This window comes from Homo sapiens, chromosome 1 (genome assembly GCF_000001405.40).
Source record: "Homo sapiens chromosome 1, GRCh38.p14 Primary Assembly".
NCBI lineage: Eukaryota > Metazoa > Chordata > Mammalia > Primates > Hominidae > Homo > Homo sapiens.
In genome coordinates this window covers 248,790,999-248,809,383 of record NC_000001.11, presented here as the reverse complement: position 1 = coordinate 248,809,383, position 18,385 = coordinate 248,790,999, and the positions used below count along the sequence as shown (strand labels likewise).

Below are 18,385 nucleotides of genomic sequence, written 5' to 3'. Positions count from 1 at the left end.
TTTTGATGCACATAATGAAATAGGTATCAAATTGGCCTATCATTTTGCAGTTACCTCCCCCCTTTTTTGTTGTGAAACCGCCTAAAATCTACTCTCAGCAAATTTTCAGTCTATAATACAGTATTATAGTCCTAATGAAGGGCTTTCTGAGATGACACACAGTGCTGGACTTCCCTACCCAGTCACTGGCAGGCAGGACCTGTGAGGCTCCTGGTACAGAAGAGCCCTAGAAAAGAAGGGCTATGCCATGCACGTGCGTTTCTCCTTGCAAAATCACCTAGAAGATGCGGCAGGCGGGAAGAGAGACCAGGAAGGTTAGAGCCAATGGTACTTCTAAGGAGAAGAAGACAGAAGCCGAAGAGCTCCCTCCCTCCCACCCTCGTTGTAGTAACTTGTACTCATCCAGTGCATTTCACGTACCAGGAACGCCCCTAATTAATCTCTACAACAATGTTATAGGACAGATAAACACTATGATTTCCTTTCCACGGTAAGAAAATAAGGCACAATGGGGGGTACTCAGCCTTGCTGAAGGTAACGGAGGCGGCTCCCACTAGGCACTTGGACTCTAGAGTCCAAACGCTTGAACCACTGGGCTCACAGGAACAGGAGGTGAGGAAGTGGAGGTAGTCATCTCCGAGGAAGTTTTGCTGGGAAGAAGAGATGAGAAGTGGGAATACTGTTTCTTAGCTCCTTCTCCCAGCAAAGAGGGTCGAGAAATTTTGTTTAAGGTGAGGAAGAGATGGTCAAGGTGTGGGGGACATAGGGCCCCATCCCCCATTCCTGTACTGTGTCATGTTACATGTTACATTGGCCTGTTGGTAATGAATTGTTCTGATCTTCATCTTCCTCAAGTGTGGGGCTGGGGCCTCAGTCTACCCAACACCTGACACAGGCTCTCACCAACAGATGCTCAGGAAATGTGCTTTTGCTTCTTGCCCCTTCTCTTAGCCCACAGCTGTATCAGGTGGGTTTATCAGTACAGCAGTTTGGAGGTCAGGACCTGGTGATGCACAATCCCAGGATCACATCTCTATGGGAATTCTCAAATTTCATGACGCTTCAATTTTATCGCCTATAAAATGGGAGCATAGAGGCATGTGTGGCATGCTGCTACATCAGTGGATCTGAGGTGCAGCGATTCCTGTTAGCACCTCTTCACAGCCTCGGAGTGCTTAACTCACGGAGGCTTCATCCCATCTTGCGCTAGGCAAGTGGACTCTATGAAAGGGTTGTGTTTCCCTCCTCATCTGGATATGATTTTTGACAAGCATGACAACCCCACTGCCTTTTTAAAAATTTAATTTTTAATATTTATTTTATTATGAGACAGGGTTTTGCGCTGTTGCTCAGACTGGAGTGCAGTGGTGCAATCATAACTCACTGCGGCGTGGGACTCCTGGGCTCGAGCAATCTTTCTGTCTCAGCTTCCCTAGTAGCTACGACCACAGATGCACACCACCATACCCCGCTAATTTTTAACTTAATTTTTTTTTTCTCTGTAGAGATGTATTGCAGTGTTGCCCAAAATGGTTTTGAACTCTTGGACTTAAGCAGTCCTCCCTCCTTGACCTAAAGTGCTGGGATTACAGGCTTGAACCACTGCTCTTTGCCTTTTTTTTTGTTTGTTTTTGTGACACTCGTTCTAGCCCAGGCTGGAGTGCAGTGATGTGATCTTGGCTCACTGCAACCTCGACCTTCTCGGCTCAAGAGATCCTCCCACCTCAGCCTACCAAGTAGCTGGGACTACAGGTGTGTCCCACCATGCCCAGCTAATTTTTGGATTATTTTGGAGGCGGGGTTTCCCTGTGTTGCCCAGGGTGGTCTTAAACTCCTGGGCTCAAACGATCCCCCTACCTCGGCCTCCCAAATTGCTGGGATTACAGGCATGAGCCACCATGCCTGGTTATGCTTCCAGCCTTTAGACATCTTTTAAAATTGACATATTGTAATTGTACGTATTTGTGGGGTGTGGAATCAACCCATCTGTAGATGCTCCTACTCTGCCTGGCAGGAAGAGCGGAGATGACCTTCTTGGGCTGTCAAGGTCTTGCTGTGTCAGCAGGGGGCAGCAGCTACCAGAAAGTGCGCAGAGCCTGGGCTCTGCATTTCCCTGCGCGCACTGCGTGTTGACCCTCCAAGCCTGCGTGGTCAGCCTCATGGGCACTTTGCAGAAGGGCCTGAAAAACTGCACATAGAAGGGTGGGGGTGTGTATACATCAGAATGGAACCCTATTTGTACTTGTCATGGGCCTCTTGCATTCCCGTGTGTCCTCGGAATCACCTATTGCGTGTGAGAGCTGGCTCAAGTCTGCAGCGCAGCTGGTCTCAGGAGGTAAGATGTTCGATATGTAGATGTACCCTGTTCTCCTCAGAGCTCACCTCCTTCCTTGGCCTCCCTAGTGTCTTTTCCCTCTCCCTTTCCACAGCCTCTTTATAAATTTCTCCACCCACGCCTGCTCACCATTCCTGAGCCCCAGGCTGCAACACATTGCTCATGCCCTGGGATAAGGGAACCAGGAGACCATACACTGGCTGGCAAATGGATATGTGTAGTTTACTAAGAAATGTTCACCAGGATCTTTCAGTGTACAAACACTGTGGTAGGCCTTGTTAGGAACACTATAAACTGTAATGCCATGGGTGGGTCTTCCAGGTAAGGAATGCAGGTGTGCACAGGTGGTGCAGGGCAGTGAAAAATACATAACCAGGCCAGGAGCAATGGCTCACAGCTGTAATCCCAATGCTTTGGAAGGCCAAGGTGGGAGGCTCACTTGAGGACCAAGTTTGAGGCCAGCCTCAGCATCATAGTGAGAACCCGACTCTACAAAAAGTAAAAAAATTAGCAATGCGTGATGGCATGCACCTGTAGTCCTAGCTACTCCTGAGGCTAGTGGGAGGATCTCCTGAGCCCAGGAGTTTGAGGCTGCAGTGAGCTATGATCACACCACTATTTCAGAATGGGTGACAGAGGGACAACCTATTTCTAAAAATAAGTAAATAAATAACTAATGAGGGCTGCAGTCAAGGAAAAATCTGGGAGGTTACAGCTGGGCATTGCTCTCCGAAGCTCTGAACCAGCCCCTTGGTCTCAGACTGGAGAAGTGGTGCCTGGCTCCCAATCCTCACTCTTCCCAAATCTGTCTTGAGCTCCCAGGGCCTGTGTCTCACCCATCTTGGTGTTCTCAGGACCTGGAATGTGGAAATTTTCACCAAACAGCTGTCTACTGACTTACTTCTGCTTGTGCTACCCTTGGCACAAGTTTCCTCCCTTCTCAAACTGTCAAACTGCTGCCTGTGGTTTGAGGACCAGATCATGTGGTCAAAAGTCCACATGAGCTGGGATTCAACCACAGGCACCTCTCTAGCCCAGTCTGAATTAATCCTTATCACTCTCAAGTTCCCCATGGCTCTTTTGACTTACTGAAGAATGGGCCGGTTGTTGTAGACATGTCTCTTGTTGGTCCTAAGTCCTCAGAAGAAGGGGTCAGTATCATCCTTGACTCCATCTCACTCAACACATAACACAATAGACATATGTACAGGGACCATACGTGATGCATAGTCTAAATTGGGACAGCTGAGTGTGAAAGGGGGCAGGTGTGGCCTGGGACTGACTTGGGTGATCTAGGACATATGGTCACCCTCATTCTAGGTGCTCAGTAAACATTAGTTCTTTTGAGAGCTTCGGTGTTAAAAACACTGACCACACTATTCAGAGAGGGTTGCCCTTGGCCTGCCCCTGCCACAAGGGGTTATGTGCACAGGGACAATTCACTCAGCTCCTCTGGGCCTCAGTGTTCCAATCTGCCGGAAGTGTGGACAGACTCAGTAGATAACCTCTAAGGTTATCTAAAGCACTAAAATTATACAGCTGGCAGTGGAGGCTGGGCCATGCGAAGAGTTCTGATGGATGATGTGAAATGGTGCATGTGTTTGCAGACAGGGTTAGGGGTTGGAGCATGAGAAACCTGAGCAAGTCCAGAGTTGGTTAGGACCCAGCCCGGAGGGAGCAGAGGGCTGCTGGATATTTCTGCTTGGGTGTGAGATGATCATCGTCCAGAGGTCGAAGAGCTCAGAGTGCTGGGCAGTAGTTTCTCTTTCTCCAGGCAGGCAGGTGGCTTTCACTGCACAGTGCAGATACGCTTCTTGATTTATTCAAACATAGGAGGAAGGGAGTGTCAAAATGAGTTTCTTCCCCATTTAGAAAAGAGGAACCTTCTTGGTCTAGGGTAGAGTGGAGCAGCAGAGCTGCCTTCTTCCTCAGCTGCGGCTTCATCTTCCATGCTCCTTCCAGGCCACCCCATCCTGTTTCGTCTCTATGATTTCTGCAATAACATGCAGAAGAGCTGGATCATCTTCACACTGACACAAGGAAATCTCAGTTGTGCCACGGCCTGCTTTTTTCCAGCAGGAATTCTTAAGGGCCTGGGGGCCTGGGGCAGCAGTGAAGGCTGGAGGAGGCTCATGGAGCTGTACAGGTTCGCAGGGGCTGCTGTGGTTTAGGGAAGAAGGAGAGGATGTTGCTTAATGTCACCTGCCTTGTGTGCTAACCTCAGTGTTGCTATGGTTTCAGCCTCCCACTCCACTTGGAGAGAGAGGCCAGGAGCCCACCTGCCTCTGCAGCCCACCTGCCTCTGCAGCCCAGGGTGGGAATGTAACCGTTGCTGCTGTACTCACATCTGACCTTCCTTCAGCTGATCTTCGCCCCTTTTACCAGATCTCCTCTTTCACTTTACAATTTCAGAAGCCTCAGATTACAATCCTCTCCATTCCCTCAAACAGTTGCATCTGGCAATAGTGACCATGGCTGCCCCATTGGAAGGGACTGTTAACAGAAAAGGGCATGAGGCCTTAGGAGGAGGGGAGCTACGTCTTCATAACACTAACAAAAACAAACCCGAGGTTAAATAAAGTGAACCAGGTATTTAGTTCACCTGCCACCTGGGATATACTTTTTAATTTTTTCTGGGTTGGTTAAAAATATATTTAGGGCCGGGCACGGTGGCTCACGCCTGTAATCCCAGCACTTTGGGAGGCTGAGGCGGGCGGATTACCTGAGCTCAGGAGTTGGCAACCAGCCTGGGCAACATGGCGAAACCCCTTCTCCACTAAAATACAAGAAATTAGCCGGGCTTGGTGGCGTCCACCTGTAGCCCCAGCTACTCAGGAGGCTGAGGGAGGAGAATGGCGTGAACCTGGGAGGCGGAGCTTGCAGTGAGCTGAGATCGCGCCACTGCACTCCAGCCTGGGTGACAGAGTGAGACTCCGTCTCAAAAAAAAAAATGTATATACATACATATGTATATATATTTAACGACACTTTCAGAGAGAATGTGACAGAGATAAAAGCTGAATAAGAATGACAGGAAAACTGATCTGGAAGCATAAATGATGAGGATGAGAGAAAACATCTGCAGCTAGACAAACCCAAAAGACTTGGAGAAAGTGACAAAAGTGAAGCAGCAGAGACGAGGAGAGACGTGAAAATACACGCTGGAGGGAGGGACATCAGAGACGAGAAGAGGAAAGCCTCATAGGTGACTGGGACATCAGAGATGAGAAGAGGAAAACCTCGTAGGTGACTGGGACATCAGAGATAAGAAGAGGAAGGCCTTGTAGGTGACCGGGACATCAGAGACAAGAAGAGGAAGGCCTCGTAGGTGACCAGGACATCAGAGACAAGAAGAGGAAAGCCTCGTAGGTGACCGGGACATCAGAGACGAGAAGAGGAAGGCCTCGTAGGTGACCAGGACATCAGAGACGAGAAGAGGAAAGCCTCGTAGGTGACCAGGACATCAGAGATGAGAAGAGGAAAGCCTCGTAGGTGACCGGGACATCAGAGACGAGAAGAGGAAGGCCTCGTAGGTGACTGGGACATCAGAGATGAGAAGAGGAAAGCCTCGTAGGTGACCGGGACATCAGAGACAAGAAGAGGAAAGCCTCGTAGGTGACCGGGACATCAGAGATAAGAAGAGGAAGGCCTCGTAGGTGACCGGGACATCAGAGATGAGAAGAGGAAAGCCTCGTAGGTGACTGGGACATCAGAGACAAGAAGAGGAAAGCATCGTAGGTGACCGGGACATCAGAGATAAGAAGAGGAAAGCCTCGTAGGTGACCGGGACATCAGAGATGAGAAGAGGAAAGCCTCGTAGGTGACCGGGACATCAGAGATGAGAAGAGGAAAGCCTCGTAGGTGACCGGGACATCAGAGATGAGAAGAGGAGAGCCTCGTAGGTGACCGGGACATCAGAGACAAGAAGAGGAAGGCCTCGTAGGTGACCGGGACATCAGAGATGAGAAGAGGAGAGCCTCGTAGGTGACCGGGACATCAGAGACAAGAAGAGGAAGGCCTCGTAGGTGACCGGGACATCAGAGATGAGAAGAGGAGAGCCTCGTAGGTGACCGGGACATCAGAGACAAGAAGAGGAAAGCATCGTAGGTGACCGGGACATCAGAGATGAGAAGAGGAAAGCCTCGTAGGTGACCGGGACATCAGAGATGAGAAGAGGAAAGCCTCGTAGGTGACCGGGACATCAGAGACAAGAAGAGGAATGCCTCGTAGGTGACCGGGCTGGTAGCACAAATGATACTCATACGTGCCAGGACTCTAGCTGAGCCCGAGTTAGATTTACAGCCCTCCTTATCTTGACCTATCTCCAAGTTCCTAGGTGAAGTGGCTGTTCCCAGTGCTGCCTGAATCCTTCAGCTGACTGCCGGCCAGAGGTTTATGGCTCTGATCAGGAAGATCACTGATGAGTCTTGTTTCAGACAGGTCCCACCCTCTGTTGGCTCCAACAGTGTTTGATATCCAACAATAGGAAACCAGATTCTGTGAGTGAACTCAAGCTATAGGCAGGACCCGTGGAAGGCACAGGGGAAAGGAGTTGTCTTCCCAGGAAATCTTGGATTTCCCCCTGGAAGTAGGTATCCTATGTACCAGGTGGGAGAGGACTGAGGAGAATGTGCCTTAGGACATGGCTGAGAGCCTCTCTACAGCTCTGCACCATTAATTCCGTGTGGATTTGTGTACCTGGAGCCCAGGGAAAACTAAAGCCCCTCTAATCAAAATGGTGTTTCTTTCTCGAGGTCCTGCTGGTTGTGAGAGATTTATGCTTCTGTGTGGGATATGTTCTTTCACCTATAAACATCAAAATCCCACAGTGAAATGGGAACAGAAAAATGTTTATTCCCCACCCAACCTTCATCTTAAACATGGTTCAATAGGAAGGTATCACTCAGAGACCCTGGCCCAGGGAGGATCCTTCTATGACTCTAGTTCCTAAAATGTGTTCTCTAGATCAACAATATAAACATCACCAGAAACTTGTTAGACATGCAAATTCTCAGCCCCCTACCTCCACTCCTCTGCCCACAGCAATACTGCATTAGAAATGCTGGGAGTGGACCCCAGCAGCTTTCAACAAACCCCTAGAGTGATTCTAGTGTACCCTGGAGTTTGAGAACCTCATCTTTCCGGCAGGTGGAAGGGATGTGGCAAACAGTGCACAGGGGTCCCAAGACTTGTCCCTTCACTCACCTTTCACTGGCCAAAGCAAGTCACCTGGCCTTGCTCCCCCATTGCCTTCTGCCATGATTGGATGCTTCCTGAGGCCTCCGCAGAAGCAGAAACCACTATGCTTCCTGTATAGCCTGCAGAACTACGAGCCAATTAAAACTCTTTTCTTTATAAATGACCCAGTCTCAGGTATTTCTTTATAGCAATGTGAGAACAGACTCTTGAAATATTTGCACACCCATATTGAAGCAGTATTATTCACAATAGTTAAGAGGTAAAAGCAACCCAAATGTCAATTGACAGATAAATGGACAAACAAAATACGTTATATACAATTGAATATTATTTAACGTTAAAAAGGAAGGAAATTCTGACATATGCTACAACATAGACTATCCTTGAGGACATTTTGCTAAGTGAAACAAGCCAGTCGCAAAAGAACAAATACTGTATGATTACACTTACATAAGGTATCTAGAATAGTCAAACTTACAAAAGCAGAAAGTAGAACAGTGGTAACTAGAGAATCTGGGGAGAGGAAAATGGGGTGTTGTTTAATGGGTAAAAATTTCCAGTTCTACAAGATAAAAACTTCTTTTGTAGATTGGTTGCATAGCAATGTAAATATTGTTAGCAAAACTGAATGGTAACTGGGTGCGGTGGTTCACGCCTGTAATCCCAGCACTTTGGGAGGCTGAGGCGGGCGGATCACGAGGTCAGGAGTTCGAGACCAGCCTGACCAACATGGTGAAACCCCGTCTCTACTAAAGATATAAAAATTAGCCAGGCATGGTGGCGCATGCCTGTAATCCCAGCTACTCAGGAGGCTGAGACAGGAGAATCGCTTGAACTTGGGAGGTGGAGGTTGCAGTGAGCCGAGATCATGCCACTTCACTACAGCTTGGATAACAGAGCAAGACCCTGTCTCAAAAACAAAAACAAACCAACCCAAAAAACAAAAAAAACCCAGAATGGTAAGCTTAAAAATGCTTAAGATGGTAAATTTTGTGTTATCCACTTTTTTTTTACCATAATAAAAATAGTATCTTGACAAAATTAATAGAAATCATACAAAGTATGTTTTCTGACCGTAGTGGGATTAAACCAGAAATCAATAACTGAAAGCTGGAAAATTACAGTATATTCGGAAATGAAACAAAAACTGTTCTAAATAAGGAATCAAGAAGTGTAAAGAAAAGTTTTTATATATTTAGGACAAATGAAAATGAAAATGCCACTTGTCAAAATGTGTGGGGTGCAGCAAGAGTGCATAGTGGGAAAGTTTTAGTAACATGTCTACATTAGAAAAGAAAATGAGCTAAAATCAATAACCCAGCGTTCCACCTTAGCACACTAGAGAAAGACAAACAAATTAAGCCTGAAGGAAGCAGAAGAAAAGGGATAATAAAAATTAGAGCAGAAATGAATGAATTTGAAGACAAGAAACAATAGAGAAAAATTAATAAAATCGAAAGCTGATTCTTTGAAAAGACTGGTAAAATTAATGATTCAGGCTAACCAAGAAAAACAGAGAGGAGACAAATTATCAATTTTATAAATGAAAGAATGTTAATCATCCCTTGGACATTAGAATGATAATAAAAAGATAATATGAATAAATCCATGCTCACAAATTGGATGATTTTGATGAAAGGACTGATTCCTTGAAAAATACAAATTGCCGAAATTCACAGAGAAGAAATAGATCAGCTGAACAGTTCTATATATTAAATAAATTAAATCATTAATTATTAACCTTCCAAAAAAGAAAACATCAGGTCCAGGTGGTTTCACTGGTAAATTATATCAAACATTGAAGGAATAACTGATACTAGTTTTCCACAATTTCTTCCATAACATAGAAGCAGTGGAACACTTCCTAGCACATTCTATGAGGCCCGCATTATCCTAGTCAAAATCAGATAAAGACACCAAAGAAAGGAAAACAATGGACCAGTATTTTTCATGAGCATAAATGTAAAAATTATCAACAAAATATTAGCAAATCAAAGCAAACAGTGTGTAAAAACATTTTATACCATGACCAAGTGGAATTTATTTCAGGTATGTAAGACTGATTTAACTTTCTTTCTTTCTTTTCTTGAGACAGAGTCTCGCTCTTGTTGCCCAGGCTGGAGTGCAATGGCACGATCTCGTCTCACCGCAACCTCTGCCTCCCAGGTTCAAGCAATTCTCCTGCCTCAGCCTCCCGAGTAGCTGGGATTACAGGCATGCACCACCAAGCCCGGCTAATTCTGTATTTTTAGTAGAGATGGGGTTTCTCCATGTTGAGGCTGGTCTTGAACTCCTGACCTCAGGTGATCTGCCCGCCTCAGCCTCCCAAAGTGCTGGGATTACAGGCGTGAGCCACCGCGCCCGGCTGACTGATTCAGGTTTCTAAACTGAGCAATATAATTTAGCACATCAGCAGACTAAAGAAGAAAAGCCATATGATTATATTGATTCAGAAAAAAAGTTTGACAAAATCAAACACCCATTTATGATAAAAATTCTCAGCAAATTATGAATTAGTAAAACTTCTTTAACATAGAATTGCTACAGAAAACATACAGCTAACTAACATCACACAGAATGATGAAAATGGCATGCTCTTCTGAGCTTGGAAACAAAGCAGGGTTGTCCTCTATTACCACTCCTATTCAACACTGTATTGGAAATCTTAGGTAGTGCAATAACACAAGAACGAGAAAAAAGTTACAGGTTAGAAAGGAAAAAATTAAACTCTATTTGCAGAAGATACAATTTTCTATGTAGAACATCTCAAAGAATTGACAAACAAAACAAACCAATTTATGGAAGTAAGTTAGCATTGCAAGGTCATGGGATACAAGACTAACATAAGAAGTCAATGACTAACTTGAGGAAGTTATGCTAAGTGAAATGTGCCAGTCACAAAAGACAAATATTGTATGATTCAACTTACATGAGATACCTAGAAGACAAATTCATAGAGGCAGAAAGTAGAATGATAGTTACCAGGGGAAAAAGGTGAAATGGGAAAGTCTTGTTTAGTGGGTATAAAATTTCAATTTCGCAAAATAAAAACGTTCTGTGGTTTGGTTGCGTGCTAAATGAGAATATACTTAACACCACTTACTGAACACTTAAGAATAGCTAAGATGGTAAATTTGGTGTAATGTGTATTTTACCATAATTAAAAATAATTTTTAAAATGGAATACAGATTTTCCCTGGCTTTTTTCAATGCAGTCCCAATCAAAATCCCAGAAGGTTATTGTAGATAGCAACAAACTAATTCTAAACTTTATATGAGAAGGCAGAAGATCTAGAGTAGCCAACACAATATTAAAGAAGAAGAACAAATTTGGAGGAACGACACTACCCAATTTCAAATCTTATTATACAGCTATAGTAATCAAGACAGCATATTATCAATTGAAGATAGTCACACAGATCAGTGAAACAGAATATAGAGAAGAGAAATAGATCCACATAAATATAGTCAACTGAACTTTGATGACAGGGCAAAGACAATTTAATGGAGAGAAGATAGCCGCCTTCAGTAAAAAGTGCTGGATAAATTGAACAACTGTATGCAAAAAAATGAACCTAGACAGAGACATTACACTTTATACAAAAGTTAGCTGAAAATAGACATACACATAAAATGCCAAACTATAAAGCTACTTGAAAAAAAATAGGAGAAAATCTGCATGACTTTGGGTTTGATGATGTGTTTTTCAATGGCACTATCCATGGAATAAAAAATTAACAAGTTGGACTTGCTAAAATTGAAAACCTCTGATCTGCTAAAGACATGGTTCAAAGGAAGGAAAGATAAACCACAAATTGTGAGAAAAATTTGAACAATAGACATCTGATAATATCAAAATATACAAAGAACTTGTATTTAAAATGTACAGAGAGTTCTTACAGCTCAACAAGAAAACAACCCAGTTCAAAAGTGGGCAAAAGATTTGAACAGACACCTTAAAAAAAGATATACAGATGGAAAATAAAAATATGAAACGGTGCTCAACATGATATGTCAGTAGGGGATTGGAAATTAAAACGGCAGTGAGATGCCGCTACACACTTATTAGAATATTCAAAATGCAAATAACTGATAATACTGACTGCTGGAAAGTTTGCAGAGCGAAATAAACTCACATTCACAGGTAGTGGGAATGTAAAATGGTACAACCACTTTGGGAGATAATTTGACACTTTCTTGCAAAACTAAACATAATCTTACCATGTAATCCAGCAATCACGTTCCTAAATTCTTACCCAACTGATTTGAAAATGTATGTCCACTCAAAAACCTGCATGCAAATATTTGTAACAGATTGATTCATAATCACCCACAACTGGGAGCAAGGAAGATGTCTTTTAATAGGTGAACGGATAACCAAACTGTGTTGCATCCATACAATGGAATAGCTTCTTATCAATAAAAAGAAATGAGATATCAAATTATGAAAATAAAAGAATCTTAAATGCATATTATGAAGTGAAAGAAGCCAGCCAGAAAAAAAACTGTATAATATATGCTTCCAATTATATGACATTCTGGGAAAGATAAAACTTAAAAGACCTTAAACACATTAGTAGATGCCAGAGGTTCTGGGGAAGGAAGTGAAGGTTAAATAGGTGAGGCACAGGAAAATTTATAGGGCAGTGAAACTTCTGTGTGATAATATAATGGTGAATACAAAACGTTAAGTATTTGTCAAATTCTATAGAGTTTTAGAGCACAAAGAATTACCTTAATGTATGTGAAATTTAAAAAATCATTTATGAGGTGGGGAGAATCACAAGAAGAAATGAACACTGTGACAAAGTAATCTAAACGTTTAATGAGGCAACCTCACTCAAGGGGCTGGAGGAGTAAGATGCTGACCTACCTAAGCTATTTTTTGTTTTGTTTTTTTGAGACAGGGTCTCATTCTGTTGCTCAGGTTGGAGTGCAGTGGTGCAATCTCAGCTTACTGCAGCCTCAACGTCCTGGGCTCAACAATTTTTTTATCTTTTTTTTTGATATGAAATCTTGCTTTGTCACCAGGCTGGAGTGCAGTGGCGCAATCTTGGCTCACTGCAACCTCCACCTCCCGGGTTCGAGCAATTCTCCTGCCTCAGCCTCCCAAGTATCTGGGATTATAGGCACACACCACCACGCCCAGCTACTTTTTGTATTTTTAGTAGAGACGGGGTTTCACCATGTTGGCCAGGTTGGTCTCGATCTCTTGACCTCGTGATTCGCCTGCCTTGGCTTCCCAAAGTGCTGAGATTACAGGCGTGAGCCAGCGTGCCCGGCCAGGCTCAACAAATTCTCCCACTTCAGCCTTTTGAGTGGCTGGGATTACAGGCATGTGCCACCATGTCTGGTTAATTTTTCTTGTATTTTTTTGTAGAGATGGGTTTTCACCAAGTGGCTGAAGCTGGTCTCAAATTCCTGGGCTCAAGCAATCCTCCCGCCTTGGCCTCTCAAAGTGCTGGGATTACAGGTGTGAGTCACTGCACCTGACCCCTAAGCAAATTTGGAAATTAGTAGAATCTGTAAGACAAAAGGCAAAAGAAACTGTTCATAAGCACTGAACTCCAGTAAATAAAGTTGTTTCCCATGGAGGTAACAATTCTGATACTGCTATACATGTATGCTAGAATTCAACAATTAAGTAAATGGATGGCAGATAGTGAAAGCCAGGTTACAGATAAACAAGGGGAGGGGGCTAGAAGGACTCACATGTTAATGGATTAAAATTGGAGACAGTGGTATGAATTAATGTTTAGCTTAATATGGATAGAGAGTTACATATACAAATATTTATAAATATGTGTATACATAAGTGTTAATGCACACTCATATATCTCCTTGATCAGTAAGCTGAGAGGGTTTAGACGCAATGACACCCTGGTATCAGTAAAGCAGAGTCACTCATCAGTGAAACTCCAGACTTTGACATGCAGCTTCTGATACATTGGCTACTCCTGGGGTATAGGATGTAGAACTTAACATATGCCCCCACAGAAGACCCCTTGTCACATTCTGTTTTCTCCTCCACCTTCCCCAGCAAGCTCTCTGCCCTTAAAGCCAGTCACATGTAGTGACCTTCTATGCCCATTGCTTTACAAGGGAAACTCCTGCTTAGATACCTGGTCATTAGCTTACAGAGAAATTCTGGGAAAAGGCAGTGAGAAAGGCCCTCTCACCAACTCACACAGTGCCACCCTAATAGGAGAAGGGGACCACTCAATGAGAGTTTCTTTACTCATTTTCCCTGAAGCAACCATTGTAGCAGCTGTCACAGAACAAAGAAGTCTCAGGTTTGCTGATGCAGAAAACTTCTAATAGTATTTAAGTAACGTTTTCTAACATCTACCAATTAAAGTTAGAGGAAATCTTAGGGTGAAGTTTTTGCAGGCTACCCATCATAAACATTCTGCAAAGAGCTCCAAACTATTGATTTTTAAAAAAATTTGTAATAATATTCCAAAGTCCAAAATGTGTAGGGTAGACCAGCAGTTTGGAAACCCAAGTAAGAGACAGTTTGTTGAGAGAGTTTCCTGTATATGTAATGTTTTTCAATAAATTTAGGAAGTTTTTAGTCATTATTTCTTTGAATATTTTTTGCTGCTTCTTTCTCTTCCTTCTCTCTCTCTTTTTTTCTTTTGGGACTTCCCCCCTGTTGCTCTGTTCATTTTTATATCCTTTATTCTGCCAGTTATTAAGATTGTAAAATCTCTATCAGTCAATCTTCAAGTTTGTTCTTTCTTCTGCAAATTCAAGTCCAATGTTGAACTCTGCTAAATTTTTTATTTCAGCTATTGTACTTTTCAACTCCAGAATTTACATTTAAAAAATAATTTCTATCTATTGATATTCTCTATCTGATGTGATATTATCATCATACCTTCCTTTAGTTGTTTAATCAAGTTTCCTTTAGTTCTTTGAACTACTTTGAAGACTTTTTTTTTTTTTTTTGAGATGGAGTTTCGCAATCTTTTCCCAAGCTGGAGTACAATGGTGTGATCTCGGCTTACCACAACCTCTGCCTCCTGGGTTCAAGCAATTCTCCTGCTTCAGTCTCCTGAGTAGCTGGGATTACAGGCATGGGCCACCACGCCTGGCTAAATTTTGTATTTTTAATAGAGACGGGGTTTCTTCATGTTGGCCAGACTGTTCTCGAACTCCTGACCTCAGGTGATCCACTCTCCTTGGCCCCCCAAAGTGTTGGGATTACAGGTGTGAGCCATGAAACTTTGTTAAATCTGACATCTGGTAACTTGTGAAGGTGAATTTTATGTGTCAACTTAGGCCACACGGTATCCAAATATTTTGTCAAATATTATTCTAGAAATTTCTGTGAAGTTATATATTGGATGAGACTAATATTTAAATCTGTAGACTGAGTACAGCAGATTACCCATTATGATATGGGTGGGCCTCCTCAAATCAGTGGAAAGCCTTTATAGAAAAAGACTAACCTCCTTGGAAGAAGGAAGACTTTTGCCAGAAGACTGCCTTTGGACTCAAATTACAAGTCTTCCCTGGATTTTCAGCCCTGCCAGCCTACTCTGCACATTTGAACTTGCCAAGCCCCCACAACTGCATGAAGAAATCCTTTAAAATGAACCTCTCTCTCTCTCTCTCTCTCTCTCTCTCTGTCTCTAAACATCCTGTTGATTCTGTTTTCCTGGACAATCCTGACTAATATATCATTCATAGAGGCAGTTTCTGTTTCCTGATTTTTCTTTAGTTTATGGGCCATATTTTCTGTTTCTTTGCATGTCTCATAACGTTTGTTGGAAACTGGACATTTTAGATCACGTACTGAAGCAACTCCGGGTGTGCCCGCCACCTCAGGTGGGCTTGTTATTGTTATTTGCCTGCTTATTTGTGTAGTGATTAGCTGGATTATTTTCCTGAAGCCTATTCTCCCACTACCACACTCATTCTTCCCCACCCCCTGCAGTGGGAAGCCTCTAAGCCTCTAATGTTGCTCCTCACAGGACACAACCTTTGGTATGCCCACAGTCATTGTGGGATGATGGTGGTTTTGGCAGATTTCTTTTTGACTATCTATTCCTGAACTTACTCAGCTGTTAAGCTCTCTAATTGCAGGCTGATTGCTCAGCTGTTTTCAACAATGCTCTGGGCATCCATTGCCCTATAGGCTTAGCTAATCAAATTCAGGCTCCTTTGTAGGGACAGTTACCAAAGTCACTGAAACATGTTCTGACTCCAGGAGGGCTCTTTGTAGTTGTCTGGTGTCTTGTTTCTCTCTGGCAAACCAGCCGGCCTACAGTTTAGCCTATATTTCTGTCTTAGTCAGCTTGGTGTGCTATTACAAAATATTATAAACTAGGTGGCTTATAGACAAAAGAAATTTATTTCTCACGGTTCTGGACACTGAAAGTCCAAGATCAGGATGCCAGCATGGTCAGGTTCTGGTGAAGGCCCTCTTCAGGTTGCAGACTGTTGACTTCTCATTGTATCTTCACATGGTGGAAAGAAGGTGAGAGAGCTCTCTGGGGTCCCTTTTATAAGGTCACTAATTCCATTCATGAGGGCTCCACCCTCATGATCTAATGACCTTCCGAAGGCCCCATCTCCTAATATCATCACATTGGGGGTTATAATTTCAACATATGAATTTTGGGGGAACACAAGCATTCAGTCCATAGCAATCGTCAATGAATCTACTAATTGCTTCCCAATCGCCTTTCACCGCAACCGCCACTGTTTTATTCCCCCTATATTTAGAGGACTCTTAGACTTGAACTTCAGACTCAGTTATAAGTGAGGTCTGTTCCTTTGAGTAGAAAGCTGGAGCTCTCTGTTCTATGCCTGCTTCTGCCCCTGGGTAAAATCTCTGAGCCATGGCTCTGGAGAAAATGGCATGCTTCTCCTGAGTGACGCCTCTACTTTAGGAGCTGAGCACTTGGTAGAATGGTGTGCAGCAGCCCTAGAATTTCTCAGGTTGGCCTTTATTGGCATGGGACTGCTGCCAGTGAACTAGGGCAGTGGTGATTGGGGCCTCAGTATTTGCAGTATGTGCAGTATTCTCAAGGTCGAGCCTGTATCCCATGACTAGGAGAGGCAAGGAAGAAGGGAGTCTTCACTTGTCAGCCATACTCACCTGGAATTTATTATCTTCAGTAGGAAGAAACTGGGGGTAGGATGAGACATGCTAACTTTCTGCTCCAGAAAGTGTGAAAGTTATCAGAATCAAAACAAGTCCCTTGTTAACAAAGCTCCGACAAAAAGAGCCAGAAAAGGCCGTGAACAGAGGGTTCTCACGCACGAATGCCTGATAACAGGAACTATCACAAAAAGCTCTGCAAAAACCACAGCCTTGCACAAAGACCATCACAGCCTTACACAAAAATATAATTCTGCGAGGACATCTGCCCAGCAACTGCTTGTCCAACCTCAGACTGGCACCACCTTTATTATTTGATTCTTATAGCCAAGGACAGTTATCTCAAAACAATTATGTAATCCTCCTTATTTTTCCTTTAAAAACCACTGTCTTCTGTTACCTCCCTGAATACACACATAGTTTTCTATGGCACATATATTCCCATTGCAATTCTATTCCTAAATAAACATCATTTTCGTTAGAGAGTCTCCCTCTCTGTCAATGTAGGTTGACAGAAGTTTGTCCCCTGACTGGGAGCTTTGGGGAGAGGAAGCTGTGTGTTCTTGGCTATAATAGTCTAGAGTAGAGTTTCCATCTTGCTGAGTTGTCCCCTGACTGGGAGCACTGCAGAGAGGAAGCCGTGTGTTCTTGCCTGTAACAGTCTAGAGTAGAGTTTCCATCTTGCTGAGTTGTCCCCTGACTGGGAGCACTGGGGAGAGGAAGCCGTGTGTTCTTGGCTGTAACAGTCTAGAGTAGAGTTTCCATCTTGCTGAGTTGTCCCCTGACTGGGAGCACTGCGGAGAGGAAGCCGTGTGTTCTTGCCTGTAACAGTCTAGAGTAGAGTTTCCATCTTGCTGAGTTGTCCCCTGACTGGGAGCACTGCGGAGAGGAAGCCGTGTGTTCTTGGCTGTAACACTCTAGAGTAGAGTTTCCATCTTGCTGAGTTGGGCGGGGTGCAGGGCATGGATCTTGGTTCCCCTGAGGAGCCATTTCCTGGGAGGTTGCAAGGATGATGGCTGCCCTGAAAGAGCAGAGTCACCTGCAGGGATCCCTGCTGGACCACACAATGCTCGGCACGTTTCTGAGCACTTCTTATACATCTGCCATTTTACCGATGCGTTCACCATTCCAGGCCCAACTTAAATAATAAAGTTGCTAAGGCCCCTCTCCTGGCAGCTTAGATCAGAATCTCTGAGGATAAACTGGACACGGATATATGTGTAAAGATCCACAGATGATGATGTTAAGTCATACTGAGGGCTGATATCGACAGCTATGGCTCCAGACAGTTAATTCCCAATAACTCCTCTGTAAATCAGCTATACCAAGGATATGTCTTGGAGCCGTTTGTGTTCTGCTAAACACATGGCACCAATAAATGAACTATTCTAAGATAAGAGGGTGTGCAGATTGCTCAGAAAAGGCTGTCTAAACCTCTCTTTCAGGTTTCAGGACCCAACACAAACCTTTGCCCCTGGGCCATTCTTTAACCAGAAGAGGCCCGTCCAGTCTGAATACCCTTTATTGATCTCTCGCCTTGTCCAGTGTGAGGCTCTGCTGCCATCTAGGCCTTGGGGTTGACAGAGATACTGGAGCCATTCCACATGTTCTCTTTATTTAACACACATTCCCTTTATTTAACTCCCATCGAATAAAATTTATAGGAGGCCATTGGTTTAGACTGAGCCCCTGCCACTGAGCCCAATAGACCAAACCAAAGTGAAGTCACTCATGCTGAA

At 43.8% G+C, this 18,385-nt stretch overlaps 1 long non-coding RNA gene across 1 annotated transcript, besides 3 other annotated features; it reads left to right on the top strand.

Moving 5' to 3' along the window:
- The first annotated feature begins 1,865 nt into the window (after window positions 1–1,865).
- Window positions 1,866–10,596, top strand: LOC124904577 (uncharacterized). The gene is made up of 2 exons (XR_007067008.1): window positions 1,866–2,335; window positions 9,630–10,596. It is a non-coding gene; the product is annotated as an uncharacterized LOC124904577 (long non-coding RNA).
- Window positions 3,922–4,131: an enhancer, noted in NCBI's record as "active region_2874". NCBI's record gives its function as "activates an Ori minimal core promoter by ATAC-STARR-seq in GM12878 lymphoblastoid cells {active_cell/tissue: GM12878}" and the evidence as "EXISTENCE:reporter gene assay evidence [ECO:0000049][PMID:35858748]".
- Window positions 5,540–6,739: an enhancer, noted in NCBI's record as "CDK7 strongly-dependent group 2 enhancer chr1:249096844-249098043 (GRCh37/hg19 assembly coordinates)". NCBI's record gives its function as "activates an origin of replication core promoter dependent on BRD2, BRD4, P300/CBP, MED14 and CDK7 cofactors, with strong dependence on CDK7, by STARR-seq in HCT116 cells {active_cell/tissue: HCT116}" and the evidence as "EXISTENCE:reporter gene assay evidence [ECO:0000049][PMID:35650434]".
- Window positions 15,720–15,809: a silencer, noted in NCBI's record as "silent region_2048". NCBI's record gives its function as "represses an Ori minimal core promoter by ATAC-STARR-seq in GM12878 lymphoblastoid cells {active_cell/tissue: GM12878}" and the evidence as "EXISTENCE:reporter gene assay evidence [ECO:0000049][PMID:35858748]".